The sequence below is a fragment of the Homo sapiens genome, chromosome 2 (genome assembly GCF_000001405.40).
Source record: "Homo sapiens chromosome 2, GRCh38.p14 Primary Assembly".
Classification (NCBI taxonomy): Eukaryota; Metazoa; Chordata; class Mammalia; order Primates; family Hominidae; genus Homo; species Homo sapiens.
Window position 1 is genome coordinate 77787582 of NC_000002.12, and position 23995 is coordinate 77811576.

At 33.8% G+C, this 23995-nt stretch overlaps 1 long non-coding RNA gene and 1 pseudogene across 1 annotated transcript in view; one reads left to right on the forward strand and one right to left on the reverse strand.

Moving 5' to 3' along the window:
• Positions 1-23995, reverse strand: part of LOC101927967 (uncharacterized) — a 547036-nt gene that overhangs the window by 43886 nt on the left and 479155 nt on the right. The window lies entirely within an intron of this gene.
• Positions 5175-5495, forward strand: RPL38P2 (RPL38 pseudogene 2; annotated as a pseudogene).

Here is a 23995-nt window from a genome sequence, read left to right on the forward strand (position 1 = left end):
AATACCTTTTTTTTTTTTTTTGGTAAACCTAGAGAGCATTAATTATCAGCCTAGCAATACCACAAACAACACAAAAGATCCAAAAACACCCTATTAGATTTTAAAAGTTGATTTTATTTTTCTTGAATTATTTTATTTGAGTTCAGTCTCAAAAATAATAAGATCAAACAGGAAATAAAATACAAGAAAATAGATAAACTAAGGGTCAATACCTAGAAAAATTACCTTAAACATTTTACATGTCACGTTATAATTTTTAATAAAGTAAAATAAGACATGCAAAAAAATGGAATCACGTTACGAATACTGTTTTAAGAACTGTTTTTAACATATTAAGAATTGTTTTCCATGTACCTATTTCTTTCTTTATGTCATTATTTTTAGTGGCTGCATTTTATTCTGTTAGACAGCTGTATTTATTCTTTATCAATGAAAAGTGTATTTCCAGGCTTTCATAATCAAAAGCATATTTTTCTTCATATATTTTTATGTTTTCCTGAGTATTTAGTAATAAATTACACATATTGGCATCCTTGGATCCAAAGGTAAGGGAAAGTTTAAGGATCTGAAGCCACACTAGCAATTTCCTTCATCTACTTGTACCAATTTATTTGTCCAAACACAATGTGTGAACTTTTAGTATCACATCATTTGTATCTCTTTACTTAATCAGTTCTGAATTCACAAAAATCAGGGAATTTAAAACTAATAATTATTATTTTTTTCCAAAATTAGGTTTTCTCAGATTTCTGTACAACATTACATAGAAAGACAATTAAAGAAAACACATAAAATTTTGAACCTCAACTCTACCAACTGTGAATTCTACATTCAGCAAACTTAGTTTAATCTGTGAAGACTAAGTCATTCTCACATTTCTGGGAATTAAGGAAATCTAAAATTAATGCATCCATCATTCAATTCTATGAGGTAAGTACAGTATTACATTTTATAGACAAAACATAGTATCTTGTCCAAGAATTTCATTTCAAAAACAATACTGTTAATCACTTCAAATTTTTATTTTTTTGTCTTTTTAAATAATTTTTATTTTTTAAGTTTTGCAGCGTATTGTAGATGTATATATTTATGTGGTACATTTTATAACTTTTAGTTTTCAGTGCACCCTCAACTATTATATTTTTGCCATATTGTTATCTGAAATATATAAGAGATGTAGGTAGGTTACATCTGAAAGGGGAATTTCTGTCAGTGGAATGAATAAAAACACAGGTCTCTGTCTCCGAAGCATGGTTAGAAATGGGAGAAGTACAGAATATTTTCTTGCTCCCCACAATGATATATTAATTAGGCTTCTGCATTTTTTAAAATTTGGTGCTAAATGCCTTTCAGTGGATGGAGACTCCAAAATCTAAATTAAATTATTTGTTAGTCTTAGTTTTCACAGTCTCTTTTCATTTCCATAATTTTTGATTTTCTGTAGACATTTTACTTTGCAATTGGGCAGATTGCATTAGCTAATAGCCAGTTGCTCTTTTTTGGCTGAAATTTACTCTGGTGTTTCAAGAAACCTCTGTGTTCATTAACTAAAAAAGTAAAGAAAGCCAAATATTATTTTTCCTTTAACTGACCTTAGATTAATTCATTCAAAGGACAAGATATGCCAGAGTCATAAAACACTCCTAAGATTCTATTGTTTTAATAACAGTAGTAGATTATTTCCCTTAATGGGTAATTATAGTTTGACTTTCACTTGTTCATTCCATAAATTCATGAAAATCTGTGTTCCAACACAAGATGCATACATTGAATCATTTTTAAGTTGACCAAGGGAAACTTAAACTACCTTTTCATTCCTACAATAACATATGGGAAAGCTATTTTAATTTTTGTTCTACAGAGGAGGGCTAACTTTTAAAAAGCCATTTCTATTGTTGTTCAGCTGGTTAATGACAGAAGTATATTTTGCATCTAGAGCTGTATGACTAAGAAAATATTCTATTCTTACTAAAGCATATCACTGCCTCTCCTCACACTCCACCCCGGTGCCTGAACCCAGAAAATGAATATAACAGTAAGAAGAATGTGAATGAGGATTTTTACACTGAGACACATTATGAGCTTGTCAGTACATAGATTATAAATTTGATTATGTGAATAAACTCCTATGAGGTATTAGAAAAATGGAAAACTAGTTTTCATTCAATCATGAGTCTTTTATATGCAACCACAGGTCCCAGACGATCACCACCTAAACACTAAAAACATGCATGAAAATTTTGCTGATTTTTACGACTTGAATAGAGAAATGTTTGGAAAGCTGCTAATCCTTGAGTTTTACTTATTGCCTCTACTTCTAGACATGGAAGTACAACAGTAAGTGATGTTTGGGCTCATTACTCCACTTTCTGAGCCTGGATATCTTCATGAGTACAAGAGCCAATCTTATAATATTAACTAGAAGCAACTAGAAGCTTCCCTAGAAGCAACTGGAAGATTTATATAATAGCTACAAAAATAGCATTTATTGTATGTTTGCTATATTCCAGGCATGGTTCTAAGAACATTATATGTATTCATTCATTTAATTTGCACATGGCCTTATGAGCTAGGTCCTATTATCATTGATGTTTTACAGACAGAATAGAAACGCAGAATTAAGTGTTTACCAAATGCACCCCAAGCAATCCAGACTCCAAGATCTGTGCTATTAATCACTGTGTTTAGCTGCTTTTCATCAACCAAAGGATGGTTTGAAAGTACTTTGTAAACTGCTATTCAGTAGGTAATTTTTACTAATTATTTCAAATATTGTGTTATTTCGTTATATATATGACTATAATATGTATGTATCTACTGAATATTATTTAATCAAAACTGTCACTTACTGTATGTGTTAAATGCTCTGTTATTATAACTATTTCAGTAGGCTGTTAGGCATAAAAATATGTTTTATATATTTACATAGTTCAAATGAGTGATCTTGCTGGATAATACTTCTTTAATTACTTATATGTGGCAGTAATTTCATTTTCAATGTGAAGACATCAACAGAAGATACAAAACTGAAATTGCGTGTCTTTAATCGTAAACTTTCTTGACTCGTTGAGGTAGCTTTCTTTCTTTCTTATGCTGGGTTGTTACGAACGTTAAATTCACACAAAGTGCTTATGGCCGCTCCTCAGATAGTGCCTGCTTCCTTTCATTCCTCATATATACATGGCAGAGCCAATGAGCTGACAACAGAAGTTCAGAGTGCCTTCTCCAAGACGAAAGTATACAGCAGTAGGCATTAGTGCACCATTCTCTGTTTCTTCGCCTTCAGAGGCATGAGTGGCCATTGTCAGCAGGACAAAACTGCAGCAGCTCAGACCACTGAACAGCTCCATGAAGGTCAGCTGCTTTCTACATTCATGACACCTATAAAGGATTTCATGTAAGCTAGAAATGAACTTGTTTCTGTGTGTATATGCTTGTGTGTGCATGTGTGTGTGTAATCCAAATGTAACATAAACCTATTTTATCCTGATTAAAACAATATTTCACATAAACTCTGGACCTTTTCAATCATAAATAAATATCAGTTGTTACTGTATTTGGTTATTATTATATTTGCTAATGTTATTATCATCATTGAACTATGACATTCTGCAATCCCATTTATTTGTCCTTTTGTATGACTAGGGTTGTCTTGGAAAAAACTGGAATTATTCATCGTTGTCAAAACGTCTAAATTGGGGTTATACAACATAGTTACTGATATTGAGTTCACCAGAAACTTTAGCCATTGCATCATGACCAAGATTTTGAAAGCTTCCTGACCCAAAAGTAATTTTAAATGTTAATTGGACAAAATATATTGGTAAAATACAGAAATTAAAATAATTACTGAAAAACAGATGCTTGAGATTTGAATCAGTAGGTCTTGCTAAGGGCTTTAAATTTTAGCATTTATTTCTTTGTTAATATAAAATTTGCTTATTTTTATCCTGTGCAAGAATAATTAAAATAGTGACTGATCTTTCAGAAATAACATCTTTCATAAGTTTGTGCTTATCACATTTCTGACAAGCACATTACTGTTATCAATGGCTTCTCATCCGAAACTGCTGATTAAGGGACATCCATTCCTCAATTATGCCAACTGATTTTAATGATTGTTCATATGAGATCACTGAATGTGGGCACCTCTGCACTGAGGCACAAGTTGCATTGCCCCTGATTGTGTTCATTTACCTATCATTGGGATATATTTTCATGGTTATGGGAAGAGCAATTGCAAATGATATTGCCATGTGAAGAAAAACATAACCAAAAGAAATAATGTTCACTTCTCTAACTGTGGCAGGAGTTAAGCTCAGTTTACTTAATCTTTGACTTTACTATGCTATTTCACTGATTTATTGAAGGTCATCACTACTCATGTTTGTGGGTCTGAAATTACAAAGTTTTAGAAATTTTATAATTTTCCCACATTCTCAGGGTATTCCAGCAAACTGAGCATGACTCTAAGGGAAGCTTCACAGGACATAAAGGAAAAAATAATAACAAAAGCATAGTACATTAATGGAAGACTTAAATTGGATTCCCTAAGATCCATCGCAGAATCTTTTTTTTTCAGAACTCTTAACATATTTCAACAATAACTTATATTTTTCCATTGTAACTGTATCAACGTTTTTGACATTTTTATGAAGCTGCCTTTCCCTTAAGTATACATTATGTGCCTATTTTATTTTTTTTAGTTGTTGTTTTGTGTTGTTTTGTTTTGTTTTGTTTTGTTTTTTGAGACAGGGCCTTGCTCTGTCATCCAGGCTGGAGTGCAGGGGCATGATCATAACTTAATGCAGTCTCTACCTCCTGGGCTTAAATGATCCATCCTCCTACCTCAGCCTCCTAATGTGCTGAGATTACAGACATGAGCCACTGCGCCCAGCCTACGTCTGTTTTATTAACAAATTCATGTCTGACATTCAACAAAATGCCTCACACTTACCAAAATATTAAAATTTCTCACTACTGACAGTAAATGACATGAACTGTTTCAGTCTTTGTGCAGGTCGATTTTGCAAATTTAATTAAAATTCTAAAAATATATTTATTTTCCTTAAGTGATTTAATATTTAGAAACTTATCCAATTAAAATAACTTCCATGGATTCAAAAAGTATGTGCATAAACAGAGACTTCACAAAATGATTGTAAAAATTCCTTTTTTTTTTTTCCCGGTTGCTGCTCGCTGTCCCGGTCCGTGCCAGCTCCCAGTTCGCCTCGTCGCCATGCCTCGGAAAATTGAGGAAATCAAGGATTTTCTGCTCACAGTCCGATGAAAGGATGCCAAATCCGTCAAGATCAAGAAAAATAAGGACAATGTGAAGTTTAAAGTTTGACACAGCAAATACCTTTACACCCTGGTCATCACTGACAAAGAGAAGGCAGATAAACTGTAGTCCCTGCCCCCTGGTTTGGCAGTGAAGGAACTAAAATGAACCAGACACACTGATTTGTGCTGTATTAAAATACTAAAAATCCTAAAAAAAAAAAAAAAAAAAAAAAAATTCCTTTTCGTTTTCCATATGCATGTGCATCTACTTATGTAATATGTTTATTTTACATACGCGTACTATTTACATTTTGAAATTCTCAGTGTATTTTAATCATGTATTGATTAAGTAACTACAAAGTATCTGTAGTTTTAATACTTTATAATCATTTGAAACAGTGTGGTAAATCCTTATATACTAACATGGAGAGATGCATTATGCATAGTTAAGAAAAAAATGAAAACATAAAATAAAAAGGCTTATAATAATGTGTATGCATTCACACATGAATATTCTTTCAATTCTCAAAAATATATTTAGTAGATAGTGCCTCGGAATAGTATAAAAAGGGACTCTATTTACTTTTTCAGTTTATAATTGAGCACAAATAATTAAAAAGAAGCTACTATATTAACATTATTTCCTAATCATGTATTTAACTGAGATAGGAAGGAGAAAAATATGACAACATGAAGGGGAAAAGTAAAATCATTACCTACAGTAGAAAATAATAATTATTTTTAAACTGTGTATTAACCATGCCAGGTAATCTCAGTATTCAGCTTTTTATTAGGAAAAAAAATTCAATTTATTTTTTATTTTTTTATTTTTATTTATTTTTTTTTATAATTTCTCTCCCTGAAAATTTCTCTTTTTTTATTTTTTTATTATTTTTTTTTATTATTATACTTTAAGTTTTACGGTACATGTGCACATTGTGCAAGTTAGTTACATATGTATACATGTGCCATGCTGGTGCGCTGCACTCACTAACTCATCATCTAGCATTAGGTATATCTCCCAATGCTATCCCTCCCGCCTCCCCCCACCCCACAACAGTCCCCAGAGTGTGATGTTCCCCTTCCTGTGTCCGTGTGTTCTCATTGTTCAATTCCCACCTATGAGTGAGAATATGCGGTGTTTGGTTTTTTGTTCTTGCGATAGTTTACTGAGAATGATGATTTCCAATTTCATCCATGTTCCTGCAAAGGACATGAACTCATCATTTTTTATGGCTGCATAGTATTCCATGGTGTATATGTGCCACATTTTCTTAATCCAGTCTATCATTGTTGGACATTTGGGTTGGTTCCAAGTCTTTGCTATTGTGAATAGTGCCGCAGTAAACATACTTGTGCATGTGTCTTTATAGCAGCATGATTTATAGTCCTTTGGGTATATACCCAGTTAATGGGATGGCTGGGTCAAATGGTATTTCCAGTTCTAGATCCCTGAGGAATCGCCACACTGACTTCCACAATGGTTGAACTAGTTTACAGTCCCACCAACAGTGTAAAAGTGTTCCTATTTCTCCACATCCTCTCCAGCACCTGTTGTTTCCTGACTTTTTAATGATTGCCATTGTAACTGGTGTGAGATGGTATCTCATTGTGGTTTTCATTTGCATTTCTCTGATGGCCAGTGATGATGAGCATTTTTTCATGTGTTTTTTGGCTGCATAAATGTCTTCTTTTGAGAAGTGTCTGTTCATGTCCTTTGCCCACTTTTTGATGGGGTTGTTTGTTTTTTTCTTGTAAATTTGTTTGAGTTCATTGTAGATTCTGGATATTAGCACTTTGTCAGATGAGTAGGTTGCGAAAATTTTCTCCCATTTTGTAGGTTGCCTGTTCACTCTGATGGTAGTTTCTTTTGCTGTGCAGAAGCTCTTTAGTTTAATTAGATCCCATTTGTCAATTTTGTCTTTTGTTGCCATTGCTTTTGGTGTTTTAGACATGAAGTCATTGCCCATGCCTATGTCCTGAATGGTAATGCCTAGGTTTTCTTCTAGGGTTTTTATGGTTTTAGGTCTAACGTTTAAGTGTTTAATCCATCTTGAAAACCCCACTGTCCCAGCCCAAAATCTCCTTAAGCTGATAAGCAACTTCAGCAAAGTCTCAGGATACAAAATCAATGTACAAAAATCACAAGCATTCTTATACACCAACAACAGACAAACAGAGAGCCAAATCATGAGTGAACTCCCATTCACAATTGCTTCAAAGAGAATAAAATACCTAGGAATCCAACTTACAAGGGATGTGAAGGACCTCTTCAAGGAGAACTACAAACCACTGCTCAAGGAAATAAAAGATGATACAAACAAATGGAAGAACATTCCATGCTCATGGGTAGGAAGAATCAATATCGTGAAAATGGCCATACTGCCCAAGGTAATTTACAGATTCAATGCCATCCCCATCAAGCTACCAATGACTTTCTTCACAGAATTGGAAAAAACTACTTTAAAGTTCATATGGAACCAAAAAAGAGCCCGCATCGCCAAGTCAATCCTAAGCCAAAAGAACAAAGCTGGAGGCATCACACTACCTGACTTCAAACTATACTACAAGGCTACAGTAACCAAAACAGCATGGTACTGGTACCAAAACAGAGATCAATGGAACAGAACAGAGGCCTCAGAAATAACACCGCATATCTACAACTATCTGATCTTTGACAAACCTGAGAAAAACGAGCAATGGGGAAAGGATTCCCTATTTAATAAATGGTGTTGGGAAAACTGGCTAGCCATATGTAGAAAGCTGAAACTGGATCCCTTCCTTACACCTTATACAAAATTCAATTTTTAAAACCTCTTTGCTTTACACGTAATTCATGAGTCAGTGTGGAGTGGTCATACACAAAGCTTCCATTTGCTTACTGCACTTTATTAAAAGTTTTGAAGCTGACAAAACTTTTCCAAAAAAACAAGAAAAGGATTTTGGAAATCTATTTAGAAACAATTCTGATTAATTCAGTATATACTTTTTAAATGTCTCTTTTTACCAAGCAGTTTTGCATGATAATAGGGTATTTATTTCTTAACATTTCAAATTCTCTAGCTTTCGTATCCTTTTTACACCAAAAGTCATAATCATTTCCATAGCAACTATATTCATTGTCAAAGGTAGAAATTTTTGACTTCTGTTGGGTATTTTTTAAGGAGCAAAGGAACATTTAAGCAACAAAAAGTAGTATTTTACAAAAATTGACAAGAATTGAGAGAGAAAAAAAGTACTGGGTGGTTCCTTTAATAACTTACACAGATAACTTATTAAAACTATAAGTTATTGCCAAAACTCAACATAATTTTTCTTTAGTAACTTCATTTTAAATAATATATTTTTTTGCAGTCATAATTTCTTCTTGTACTAAGTCAACAACAATAAAATGAAGAATAAATATTTACATATTTAGTTAGGGAATATGATATAAATATCTAATTTTCTGACCTTTTTTTATTTAAAAAAATGAATCAAAACTAAATTAAGTCAAAAATTTCATCTAAAAAGTAAAGAATTATTTTTCTCTCAACCCTCTCCAAATTTCTATCAACATGTTACTTAGTGTAGTATCATATATTGTAATTTAGAAAATAAACACTATTTACTTACGCTCTTTTATGAGCAATAGATAATAAGTATTTGCCATAACACATTCATGAATACAAGAATGATGAACTTTGAAGCAAAACTTGTTTTTCTTGCAGGTTTTATTGCTTGAAGTTACTGTTTGGCACCTCTGGATGGAGATACGGAGTTAGTAAAGTAGAGGGGAATAGTTTTTATTTTATCATACCTATAGATTTGTTTACAGATGGCAGGTTATTTTAGCTGGATCTTCCTGACAGTTATTACTACCACCAGCAACAAAACATGCTTCATAAGTAGAGAAATTAGATAAAGAATATTAGACTTGCTGTGCCCCATGCCACATAGTGAGTTGATTGAGGATCCCAAGCTACTGGTTTCCCTTCTAATTCATTGTTTAGTAAATCAGCAAGTACAATAAAAGAACAAAAAGATTAAGTTAGCAAACATTTTAAATAGAGGTGCTTTATATGTGCTATCATATCAGTTTATTGATGAAATTTTGACTTAAAAAAAGGAACTTTCTTTATATAGTTTATTTATATATTAAATTTAAAATGTACCAAACAACTTATATGTGAAAAGTATGTGTTGTAGCCTTTTCTGTAATAAATGTACACATCCTTTTGTCTCTACTAATAAGCATAATTTAGTGAAAGTAACAAAAAAGCAAGGAATTATACAAAAATTAGAGGAAATACTAGAACTGGACAAACTCTGGAACTAACACTCTCAAGTTTCAAAGTTGGAATATGAGGATTAAGTTGTGCTTCGTTGTAATGTCCCTTTCAGGGGCTGAGTGCTCAGCATGAGAATAATGACTCAACCCTGGGCAGATCTGAGCTCCCTCTGAGTTTTCAATGAAATCCCATATTAAGGCTAATCATGTTACTACTCTTCTAGCTGCCTGGTTTGCAACCACCTTCTGCTTTTCATATGTCTATGACCATATTAAGCCAGTTTCTTGTTTATTTCTGTTTTCATCTCCCCCACCATGTGAGCCTCTTTCAGCAGGAATTGTGCCTAGTTTTCCTCTGAATCTCAGACCATTATTTGATAAAGGGTTCAAATTCAATACGTTACTTTTGACTATAAGGATACAATTTGATAAACAAGTCAATGAGGTAAAAAAAATCACTACCTTTCTCCCAATTTCTACCTGTCCCCTCAAAATTCTGCATTTATGTCATCAAAATACATTTCCCACTGAAATAATACATTTTACAATGGAATAGTATATAGTTTGGAGAGTTTACTAGTTTATCACATGAAGTTTCATTTTATCTTTAGAGAGGTATTAAGGAATATTTCAATATTTTTAGGGAATATTTCTACATCGAGCCCTATATAGTTATTATTTTAAAGGGAAGGAAACCAAACTTCAAAGTGTTTAAATGAATTGCCCCAAATCAAAGAGGTAACAAAAGGCAGAGCTCAAGTTCAAAGACAGCATCCCAAATCCTTTTTTCTCAGTCTAGGGACTTTTTTCTTCCTGACACTGCACTGTGATTCTAGAAGTAAGCTGAACTCTTTAGACGCATAACACATTAAGCCATGATTAGACATTCACACTTCACGTAACTTCTTAGATATATTTTTTTAATTATAAGGTAACTACAGTTCTGGTTAATATTATAAAAAACTCGAATAACATGAGGATGCATCTTTAAAAAAAAGAAATTTCATGGAAGATTCACCAAGAAAGACAATATCCTGGAGCTTAAAATAAACCTCAACAAATGTTAAAGATTGAAATTATACTCTGGCCTAATGGAATCAAACTACAAATTGAAAACATAAGATAACACGAAAATCTTGAGATACTTAGAAATAAAAACAAACAAAATCAATAATACATGCCTAAAATAGTCTCAGAAATTTTAAAATACGTAATTGAGAATGAAAATACAACATACTAAAACATGTAGGATGCAGTTAAAACCACGCTGAGAGAAAAATTTATAGTAATAATACTTATGTTACGAAAAAGAAAAGGTGTCAAATCAATCATCTAATGTCCCACTGACATAAGATATGACATTGAGTGACTAGAAAGGGAAGATCTATTTTATTGGTTATTTTAGCCCAAAGGGAAAAAAATGAAAGGAAATAATATAGATGAGACCCAAAAATCAATAGAATGACTTAAAGAGACTCAATAGAGAAAATCAATGAAACTACATGCTGGTTCTTTGAAAGATTCAATAAAATTGATTAAACTCTATTTAGTAATATTGACAAAAATAGAGAATAAACAAGTCACCAGTATTAAGAATAAAAGGAGTTATCACTACAGATCCTGCAACCATTATAAGGAACATAAAGGAATAATTTTTTAAATTACATTCACAAATTTGACAACTTAGAAACAAAATGGACCAATTCCTTAAATCCAAAAACTGCAAAAACTCATCAAAGATGAAATAGATAATATGAATGAAGCTATAACCAAAAAACTGGAATTTTTCATTCAAAATCTTCTCAATAAAAGAAATCTCCAGATTCTAAATGGTTTAACTGAAGAATCTGTCAAACATTTAAGGAATAATTAATACTAATTTTACACAATCTCTTTCAGAAAATAGAAGATTAGGGAACATTTTATGAAGCAAATATTATCCTGATATTCAGTCCAAACAAAGACAATATAAAAAGAAAAATATAGATAAAGTTATCTCAGGAAGTTAGATATCCTAATACTCAACAAAACTTAGAAAATTGAATCTAACAATATACAAAAAGAATTGCACGGCATGATTAACTGGGATTTTCTTCAGGTAGGTAAAGTTGGTTTAACACTTGAAATCAATCAATGTTACCTTCCATGTCAACAATCTTCAGAATAAAAATTATATTATTCGGTGTAGAAAAAGCATTTGACAAAAGTCAATATATTTTAATGATAAAAACAGTAAGTTAGGCATGAATGAAAACTACTTTGACTTGATAAAGAACATCTACAAAATCCCTGTAACGACATTATCTTTAATGTAAAATATTAAATTATTTACCTCTAAGATTGAGAACCAGTCAAGGATATACAGTCTCACTATACTTTTTCAACATAGTACTGAAAGTCTTACCCACTGCAATAAGGTAAAACAAACAAAAAAATTAAAAACCCACATTTATATTTGAAAGGAAAAAATACAACTTTTTTTTTGTTTGTTTTTTTGTTTTGTGTTGTTTTGTTTTGCAGAAGACATGGGAATATACAAAAGAACAAACTCCCAAAACTAATAACAGAGTTCAATAAGGCTGTAGCAAAATATCAACTAATAAAAATAAACTGCATTTCTATCTACTGAAACAGAACATGTAGAAACCAAAATTAAATATATAGTACCACTTACAGTTGCTTCAGAGAAATGAAATACATAGAAATAGACCTAATAAACATGTACAGGATATACATATATACTCAAAATTATAAAATGCTCAAGAACTGAAAGAAGACCTAAGTAAATGAAAAGACATACTACGTTCATAGACAGGAAGACTCAAAGATTCACAGTAAAGATGTCAAAGCTCTACAAATTAATCTACAGTTTTAATGAAATTTTTATCAAAATTCCAGCCAGGTTTTTGTGCATATACAAAAGCTTTTTCTAACCATTATAAAATATACAGATCTTTGGTATATTATGAAATATACCTAAAACAATCTGGACAAAGAACAATAACAGAAGAAATCCTTCCACTCTATATTAATGCTTCTTACATAGCTATATTAATCAAGACGGGGCAATATTGGCAATGATATAAACACATAAGTCAATAAAACAGAATAGAGAACCCAGAAGTAGACTCAAATTTGCCCAACTAAATTTTGACAAAGACACATACACACAAAAATATTCAATGCAGGAAGGATATCCTTTTTCACAAATCATTCCGGGGTATTTGGATGTCCATAGGCCAAAAGAATGAATGTAGACTTAAACGTCATACTTTATACCAAAACTAACTCATAATTCATCATGGACTTGCAAGTAAAACATTAAGCTATAAAACTTTTAGAAAAAAAAGAGTAGCATAATATTGTACTATGGGATTGATAATGTGCACAGATGTAATACATATGACAACAGTAGCAAATATCCCTGTAAGAAAGTAATCTATTTAAAATCCACAGATGTTTTTAGTAGATTCCATATGTGAGATTACACAGTAATTGCCTTTTTGTGTCTGGTTTATTCAATTTAGCATAACATCCTCCAGATTCATCCTTGTTGTTGCAAGTGACAAGCTTTCCTTCTTTTTATGGATAAATAATATTTCATTTTGTTCTATTCCAATAATATTCTGCATTTTCTTCATTCATCCATATATATATGTGTGTATATATTTAATATTTAATATATTATATATTTGATATATTATATATATTATATTTAAATATATAAAAATAATATATTTAATATTATTTGTAATAGATTATTTCGATCTCACTAATATAAGCTTATTTTAAATGATATTATAGAGGAAAGCTATGAAATAATAGGAATCATTCTATATATATTATAGTCACTGTATATATATTACTGTATATATATATCATAGTTACTATATATATATATATATATTATAGTTACTGAATAACGTGGAGGGAATATTAATAAATTTCCTTGAAGTGTCCACTTCCTTTTCTGCTGTTGTTTTTACAGTTTTAAAGGCTTTTTTAAAAATTGTGTGGCAGTTGTGTAGATATGTATTCAACTATTGTTTTTTACCACAAGGAGAGTAGTTAAGTACTGTTCCTACTTCTTTTACATAGAATATGAAAGTGACTGTTAAAATAATGGCTTATATAAGTGAGCTTTATGGATCAGATATATTCCCTCTTTCTATATTTTCATATACATTCTTAATTATTTGAATGGTTCATATTATTATGTAGCTTTCCTCTATAATATCATTTAAAATAAGCTTATATTAGTTAGACTGAAATAATCTATTACAAATAACATTAAAACATGCATTTTACTGAGAGGCAGAAACTCCTATCCATGCTGGTGGAAATGCACAGCACTCCTGGAGAATAATTTGACAATAAATAGTAAAATCTTATCGTGTGCACAGCATTGAACTGAGGAATTCTTCTATGTGGGATGAATTCAAAATACACAATTGTAATTGATCTCAATTTTAGCCTCAAGAACATTTATTGCCCACTTATATATTATGTCCTAATATTTATAGTGATGTAAATAATCAAAAACATGTGCTTGAATATGGTACCTCTGTATAATGGAGTGTTGTGGAATAATTACAGATAAAATCACAGAAAAATCTTAAATGACAAGAAGAATATACCCAATATGCCATGTAAATGCAAAAGCAAATTTAATGTACCTGATATATATATAGAGATAAAGTGGTAAATACTAAAAGCATATTTTCCAAACACTGGTAGTAGCTATGTCTAAGGCGGTTGTTGAGTTTGCTTTTTCAGTTTTCCAAATTATCCCAGAGAATATACATAATTTTTATTAAGAAAATAGCAGTAGTTTTGGAAAATAAAAGATTTAAGAAGTAGGAACTGTATTGTGAAATATCCGAAATGACTAATATATTATTTTTATTTACTGCTTTTTTTTTTTTTTTTTTTTTTTTTTTGAGACAGAGTCTCACTCTGTCACCCAGGCTGGAGTGCAGTGGTGCCATCTCAGCTCGCTGCAAGCTCCGCCTCCCGGGTTCACGCCATTCTCCTGCCTCAGCCTCCTGAGTAGCTGGGACTACAAGTGCCTACCACTACGCCTGGCTAACTTTTTGTATTTTTAGTAGAGATGGGGTTTCACTGTGTTAGCCAGGATGGTCTCCATCTCCTGACCTCGTGATTGCCCGCCTCAGCCTCCCAAAGTGCTGGGATTACAGGCATGAGCCACTGAGCCAGGTCTATTTATTGCTTTAAGTATACATAGAGTGTCTGCTTTGTGCTGGGCATCATGCTAAGTTAACAACTGATAATGCTAAGCTAGAATTAAGTTCAGAAAGAGAATAAGCACAGCAATAACAATACAATTAAGTTAGTGTTATCAAATACGTTTGAATAGAATTCAAATAAAATGTAGAAAAACTTTGACTAATTTGAATGTTTCTTTTTATTATACCAATTAGTCTTGGATTTCATCATTTTATTGTTCATACATGACAAATTTTTATAAGAATTTGTCACCCAGTGTCTTTGAATGATTTAGTTTTTCCTAAATTAACCCTAAATGTTTATAATGCATTTCTTCATGCACAGTTGTAAAAGTGATTTACATTTCATAACTTTTCTTTTCATCTACCTCCTGGTAATATTCAGGCATTGTTTTTAGTTCTCCTTTCTGGAGGATTAATTTAAACAAATTTTGGCAATAAGTTGGTATTTTTTTATACAGTTTTTACCTGCTTATAGGGACACATGACTTTCAGAAACTCCTAGGTTAAATAAGTACACTTGTACTTCTACAGTGCAGGGATGGTTTTAATATATTTATTTAAAATGTCCAACCTTGTTTTTATCCATCCTGGCTGTGCCATTTACCAAAATTCAAAAAAGAAAAAAATCAAAGAAAATATTTATGTTAACCCATAAGAACCAAGAATAACACAATAAAGAAAAACAGTTTCCGAAATTTTTAATTAAAGGGCTATTGAAACCACATTCTTAAATTATTTATTTTCTACACATGACTAAAATTTCAGTTGAGCAAAAATTTTTAAAAGGACAAAAGGAAAGCTTTTGAGAGAGGCATAACTATTGGGCATAGCTAGACAAGGGTGGAGAACTAATTATTTTTGTCTTTTTTTCCTGTATTTTTTTCCAGGGTAGGGTATGATTTTGGCCTGTGTATTTTCCACCTCCAGATAATACTGCATTTCAGAGGTTCATCCAAACAAGAGTAATACAGTGTAGCAGTAAGTCATCTATTTTCTGTCTGTTAGAGTAAGACTACCTTCTATTTTGATGGTAAGCCTTTTGTGGGAGGGTTCTAATTTTAGACTTACAGAAAATTGCAGAAATAGTAAAGACAGTTTCCATATATCTCTTGCATATTTTCACCAAATGTTAACATCTTGTATAACCACTGTGTAATGATCAAGACCAGAAAATTAAAATCAGTATAATAGTATTAACTAAACTAAAGAACTTATTCAAATTTCACCTGTTTTTTTTTAACTACGATTATTTCATTTCCGTTCCAGAATCCCACTTAGGATCCCACATTGCATATACTTTTTTATTTTCTTCAGTCTCCTACAGTCTATAACATTTTCCTCTTTTATTCTTTGTGTTTTATGATCTTGACACTTTTGAAGAGCATTGATCAGTTGCGTTTTTCAATTGTTTCTTAGTTTGAGTTTGCTGTTTCCTCGTGAATGGACTGAATTGTGTTTTCTTGGCAAGAGTACCATAGAAATGGCAGTGTTTTCTCAGTGCATTTGCATTCCAGAGATCATGATATTGATCTATCTTATTACTGGTGATGTTGTCTTGGATCACTTGTGCAAGGTAGTTTCTCCAGGTTTCACCACTCTAAAGTTAGTATCATTCTCTTTGTAATTAATGAATATATTGGGTACATGCTTTGTGAGTCTGAAATTCTATTTCTCCTTAAAATTTTACTAATTTTAATGTTGGCCAGTGAATGCTGTCTTCATTACTTATTAAAGTGGTACTTTCTAAATGGTGATTTTTCTATTTCCCTCTTGCATTTTACATTTAAAAAGAAGATAGAATCCTTCTCTATTTATTTGTATTCATATACATTCATAAATGTTCATTTTATTTGATGGTTATCAAATAAAATCGTTTACTTTATTTGATGGTTATCAAATAAAATCGTTTACTTTATTTGATGGTTATCAAATAAAATCGTTTACTTTATTTGATGGTTATCAAATAAAATCTTTTACTTTATTTGATGGTTATCAAATAAAATCGTTTACTTTATTTGATGGTTATCAAATAAAATCGTTTACTTTATTTGATGGTTATCAAATAAAATCGTTTATTTTATTTGATGGTTATCTTGATGAAAAGAGTCAAACTCTGTAAAATATTTGAAGAGATGTTATCTGAGCCAAATATGAGTGACCATGGCCTGTGACACAGCCCTCAGGAGTTCCTGAGAGCATGTGCCCAAGGTGGTCGGGGTACAGCTGGGTTTCATACATTTTAGGATGGCAGGAGACATTAATCAAATACATTTAAGAAACACATTAGTTTGGTCCAGAAAGGCAAGACAATTTGAAACTGGCGGGGGGCAGTGAGGGAGAAAGTGAGGAGGGAGGTTCCAGACTATAGGTAAATTTAAATATTTTCTGGTTGACAATTGGTTGAGTTTGTCTAAAAACCTGAGATCAGTAGAAGGGAATGTCTGGGTTGCCATAATAAGTTGTGAAGACCAGAGTTTTACTACGCGGGTGAAGCTTTTTGCTGGCAGGCTTCAGGGAGAATAGGTTGTAAAATGATTCCTATCAGACAAAGTCTGTGTTGTTAATGCCAAGAGGTATAATGAGGCATATCTGATCCCGTCTTCCCTTCAGGGCTTGAACTATTCTTTCAGGTTAAATTTTAAGAGCCCTGGCAGAAAAGGAAGTCCATTCAGATGGTTGGGGGCCTTAGAATTTTATTTTTGGTCTACAGTCCAATATTATAAATATTTTATTGCTCAGCTTGTGCCAGCTTCAGCCATTTGGAAATCCTTTAGGCTACTTCGGGTTTTTGGTAAGATTTCATCTCTATCTATTTATTAAAAATAATAAGTTTATAATGGTATGTTAGCTTTCAATTCAATACCATCTGGCTAATTTTAGCCCATCCTTTTTCTTTTTTGTAGCTTCTTTCTTCAACAGTTATTAGGATCTTAAGCTGAACTTACTGTTCCATTGAAACCTGCCCAATAGTCCCATAGATAGTTTTTTTGGATAAACATAAAAATTGACCCTTCTGGTCTTAGTGCTTGAAATCTACATTGGTTTTATCTGAGTGCCTTCCTCAGGAAAGGACCCCAAGTTCTCTCAAAAAGTATCAAAGAACTGAAACTCACCAGATCTTTGCATTCAGACAATGAGATTTCAGGCCCCTCATTCATGATGATTGTTTCTGATAGGAGAGGTGTCAGAGCCCTGGCACCAGGAAGCGGTTGACTCACAGGTTGGTAAAAGGAATGTTCTGACAACAGTATAGGTTTGAAAAAGGAGAGTTTATTAGAAAGGAATAATGCTGCAAAAGGGTGCAGTGGGGTGCCTCAGCAAGAGGACTGAGCGCACCTTTGTGGATTTTCCTTAAGAGCATTTACAGACCTTTTGGTGGGAGCTTAGGATTGTAAAATTAGTTTCGGCATGGCATTTCAGAGATGTAAGGCCCGAAATTAGATGTCAGCTTTAGATACTAGGGAAGTCTGATTACCTCTAAATTCCCCAGATAAGGAGTTTGGCCTCCGGATGGCTTTTTTTTTTTTTTTTTTTTTTTTTTTTGAGACTGAGTCTTGATGTTGTCTGGGCCCCCTGGCTGGAGTGCATTGGCGTGATCTCGGCTCACTGCAACCTCCGCCTCCCAGGTTCCAATAATTCTCCTGCCTCAGCCTCCTGAGTAGATGAGATTACAGGCATCAGCCACCACGCCTGGCTAATTTTTGTATTTTTAGTAACGATGGGTTTCACCATGTTGGCCAGGCTGGTCTCGAACTCCTGACCTCAGGTGATCCACCCTACTGACCTCAGGTGATCCACCCTCCTTGGCTTCCCAAAGTGTTGAGATTACAGGTGTGAGCTACCACACCCAGCCTGGATGGCCTTTTTGATGGTCACCTGGTGGTCTTTGCTCCCTTTTAAATTGCTCAGATAAGAAGTTTTTGTCTCTGGGACCTGTTCAATCACCAGGTGGTTTTGCTCTCCTCAGTTTCCTTACCCCTCAAGTTTCTGTCTTCTCACACATAGTTACATTTCTTCCCTGCTATATGAACTCTTAATTGTATTCGGTCAGGGAGAGGGGTTTGAGACTGAGCTCTTATGTCCTCAGCTGCAGCACCAGATTAAAGCCTTCTTCTTTCTTGGCAATACTCATCATCACAGTCATTGGCTTTCTGTTCTGCAAGCAGCAGGACCTGGACCGAACATCTGGTGTGTCGGTAACACTATTATACTGTCTGTCTATTCCATGAACATGCTGTTTTAATTACAGAGGCTTTATAGTGTGTTTTAATGGCTGGTAGGGCTTAGTCATTCTTTGTAGTTTATCTTTTTCAGTAATATATTGGCAATTCTTGCATGTTTTTTCCCCTCCATATAAACTTCTGTGTCAACTTAGTTCTAACAATATAAAATAGTTTGTTTTATTTTATTGAAATTTCATAGAATGTATAAATTAACTTGAAACTGAAATCTTCATATGTCACTTTACATATGAACCTACCTAAGATCTTTTGATTTCTTCAAATATATTTTTATGTCTTCAGGATCTGGAATATTTTTAAATTTCTCAAAGAGAGGCTTGACATATTTTGTTGTTAACTTTATTCCTAAGTATTTAGTGTTCTTTGTTGCTATAAATAGGATTTTATGTATCACTATGTTCTGAGGACTAAGGTCTGATTTTTTATCTTGCCCAAATTTCTATCTAAGGGGTCTGGAGAGTTGTGCCCTACTTTCTCATCAGATGGGTTTTATTTAACCCTGTATATTGTGACTTACTTTCCAATCTGTCTCTGGCATAACAAGGAAGAAAATCGAAATGTTTCACTCCAAAATATATTTCCCTGACATACCTTGAAATTACCCGGCATAGTCTCCTGTGACAAAAATGCACATTCTGTAGAGAATCCTCATTCTCCTTTGTTTTCCTTCCTTTCCAGATCCAAGAGATAATCAACTAAAAGCCAGGCACCCTTTTAAGTCTCATATAAAACATTTTACAATCTGCTGTCTCTGAAGTCTGCTGAGAGCTTCCTTGGCACAATAAAACTTGGTCTCCACAGTCCTTTATCTTAACCTGAACATTTCTTTTTTATTGATCCCAGGTCTTCAGATAAACTCAACCAATTGTCAACCAGAAAATGTTTAAATTTACCTATAGCCTAGAAGACCTGGCTTTGAGTTGTCTCACCTTTCTGAACCAGACCAATGTATTTCTTAAATGTATTTGCTTGATGACTTGTGGGAAAGAGAGTTTCTGAGGTGCCAGATGAGTTGGTCTCCCCTGTGTGAGACACCCATGGGGAGCCATGGGCGGCCTCTGAGGAGAAATGTCTCCTTATTTCCTACATGTCTTTCTGCCCCGAGAGCATAACCGCTCAGCAGCATTCCACAGGTTGCTCAGGGAGATAACACTCCCTTGAAGCAGTGGAGTATAATCAAATATCTTGGCTCCTCCTGAAACCCACTCCCATCTGTTTCAGTCCCAATAAGTTAAAGATCTTAAGTAGTTTAGACACATGCCTTTGCTCAAGGAAATTCACAGAAACCGCCACTGCTATACATCTTATTGAATGACTCAGGACTTCTCCTTCAGTGATTAATCCTTTTCCTCATCCCTTCCTACCCCTCCCATCTGCGGTAAGAACAAAGAGCTTGTAAACCAATAAATTGGGCGGAGCCCAAGAGCTCTGGGCTGTGAGCAAGCCTCCCATGCTCCAGTCCCCTGGACCCACCTTTCAAACACTTATTCTGTCTCTAACTCCTTTGTCTCTGCCGGACTTGGGGTACCCACTGGGTGGTGTGGGGGAGGTTTCCCCAACAATGACTCATGCCTTCCTAAAATATATAAAACCAAGCCTGTACCCCGACCACCTTGGGCACATGTCCTCAGGACCTCCTAAGGGCTGTGTCAAGGGGCCATCACAGGCTATGGTCACTCATATTTGGCTCAGAATAAATCTTTTCAAACTTCAGAGTTTGGCTCTTTTCGTCAACAGTTCTCTGTTTTTTATTTGTATGTATGAAGGCTGTTAATTTTTGTATGCTAATTTCATACCCTGCTTCACGGAATACTCTTATTGTTTGAGTTAGTTATATTATTGGTTTTCTAGGGTTTCCCAGGTATACTAATGATACAGCCTCATTGTCTGGGGTGATACCTGAGGTTCATCTCACAGCCATGGAGATCAAGAACTCAGACAAACAAACAGTGAGGTGAAGAGCAGAAATTTAACATGCAAAAGAAAGAGAATAGCTCTTTGCTACAGAGAGGGGTCCTAGAAAAATGGGTTGCCAATCTGCAGCAAAATGCAAGGGGTTTTATAGATGAGTTGATGGCAAGGTTGTGTCTGATCTACATAGGCCATGAAAAACTGCTTAGGACCAGGTGTGACATTTGCATAGGGCGTGAATCTCTGGCAGACCCCACCCCAGTCTTTTATTATGCAGGCGGGATTTCAGCCAGAGCTGCTCCCTGTTGCCCGTTTCTTTCTTACTGTATACATGGGAACAAAAAGGGAAGATGGGTCCAGACACAGTGGCTCACACCTGTAATCCCAGCAGTCTGGGAGGCCAAGGCGGGCGGGTCACGTGAGGTCAGGAGTTCAAGACCAGCCTGGTCAACATGATGAAACCCTGTCTCTACTAAAAATACAAAACTTAGCTGGGCATGGTGTGACACACAACTGTAATCCCAGCTACTCGGGAACCTGAGGCAGGAGAATCACTTGAACGTGGGAGGTGCAGGTTGCAACGAGCCGAGATTGCACCACCACACTTCAACCCGAGCACAGAATGAGACTCCATCTCAAAAAAAAAAAAAAAAAAAAAAAAAAAAAAAAGGAAGATGACGTTTCCATGGTGGACATGATGCTGGGCCCTCAAGTAGTCCTTTTCTATTGGCACAGCTGCCAACATTTGCCCGTGCAAGCTTACAGCTTCCTTATTTATGTTTGCAGCTTGATTTTTCAGGCTGCTCTTTGTTAGAAAAAAAATAATAATAATTTCTTGGGCTGCTTTTTGTTAGGAGGGAAGTTCTTCTGAGGACTCTTTTGCCCTCACTACCTGCCTAAATGATTTCTTTCTACCTCCTTTATCACTATCATATCCTCTGCAATTAGAAATAAGTTTGTTTCCCCTTTACCCATTCTTATGCATCTGATTGATTTCTGTTTTTGAATTGCACTGGCAAATACTTTTAGCACAATATTGAATAGTGGCAGAAATAGTGGACATTCTGGCTGTATTCCTAATTTTATCAAAAATGCCTCTAGTGTTTCCTCATAAAATAAGACAATGGCTTTAGGAAAAAGGTAAATGTATTTTTATCATGTTAAGAATGTAACTTTCAATTCCTGTTTAATGAATGTTTTTTATTAAGAATGGGTGTTGAATTTTGTTATAGGCTTTTTCAGCATGTAGAAAAATAATCATATTTTCCCTTAGGTATATTCATATTGTGTGTGTTGTTACTGGATTTCCTAAAACCAAAGTAACATTGAATTCCTGATATAAATCTCACTTGGTTTTCATTTCTTAATGTGGTGTCAGATTCTGTTCCTAATATTTTCCTTTGAATTTCTCTGTCAGTATTTATTAGTGAAATTGGTCCGAAGTTTTCTTCTTTGAATTGTATTTATCCTTGCATCGCAAGAATGATTAGAAAGATTTCATTCCATTTCAATAGTCTGCAATGAACAATAAAGCATTAGGACTGTCTGGTGTTTGAAGAATTGATAGAATTACACTCTAAAATATCTGGACCTAGTTCATTTTGGGGGAAGGGTAGTTCTAAGTATCTTTACATACTCTATGAGAATTTGTACATTTAAGCTTTTTAACTCCAATAGGGTCAATTTTGGTAACCTGAATTTCCTGCAGAAATTATCAATTTTATTTAGGTTATCAAATATATTTGCATGAAAGTCTACAAATTAATCTATGATTTCTTCTTTTTAATCATTATTTCCTCTTGTTATTTTTTTACTGTGTATATTTTTGTCTCTGCTTTGTCTTCTTGATAAAGTTAGCTATTGGCTTATAGAGTATATTTTCTTAACAGATTTATAATAATTTTCTTAACTAAACCAGGGATTGAATTTATTATATCTTTTATTTTAAATTCTCTGCTGGAAACATTCCCTTTGAAAATCGGCAGAAGACTAGGATGCCCTCTCTCACCACTCCTATTCAACATAGTATTGGAAATTCTGGCCCGGGCAATCAGGCAAGAGAAAGAAAGAAAGGGTATTCAAAAAAGAAGAGAGGAAGTCAAATTGTCTCTGTTTGCAGATGACATGATTGTATATTTAGAACATTCCATCGTCTCAGCCCCAAAACTCCTTAAGCTGATAAGCAACTTCAGCAAAGTCTCAGGATACAAAATCAATGTGCAAGGGATGTGAAGGACCTCTTCAAGGGGAACTACAAATCACTGCTTATGGAAATAAGAGAGGACACAAACAAATGGAAAAACATCCCATGCTCATGGATAGGAAAAATCAATATAGTGAAAATGGCCATACTGCCCAAAGTAGTTTATAGATTCAATACTACTTCCGTTAAACTACCATTGACTTTCTTCACAGAAATAGAGAAAACTACTTTAAATTTCATGTGGAACCAAAAAAGAGCCCATAGAGCCAAGACAATCCTAAGCAAAAAGAACAAAGCTGGAACCATCACACTACCTGACTTCAAACTATACTACAAGGCTACAGTAACCAAAACAGCACGGTACTTGTACCAAAACAGATATATAGACCAATGGAACAGAACAGAGGCCTCATAAATAATGCCACAAATCCACAACCATCTAATATTTGACAAATCTGACAAAAACAAGCAATGGGGAAAGGATTCCCTATTTCATAAATGGTGTTGGGAAAACTGGTTAGCCATATGCAGAAAACTGAAACTGGACCCCTTTCCTTACATCTTATACAAAAAACTGAAACTGGACCCCTTCCTTACACCTTATACAAAAATTAACTCAAGATGGATTAAAGGCTTAAATGTAAGACCTAATACCAAAAAAGCCCTAGAAGAAAACCTAGGCAATACCATTCAGGACATAGGCATAGGCAAAGACTTTATGACTAAAACACCAAAAGCAATGCCAACAAAAGCCAAAATTGACAAATGGGATCTAATTAAACTAAAGAGCTTCTGCACAGCAAAAGAAACGATCATCAGAGTGAACAGGCAACCTACA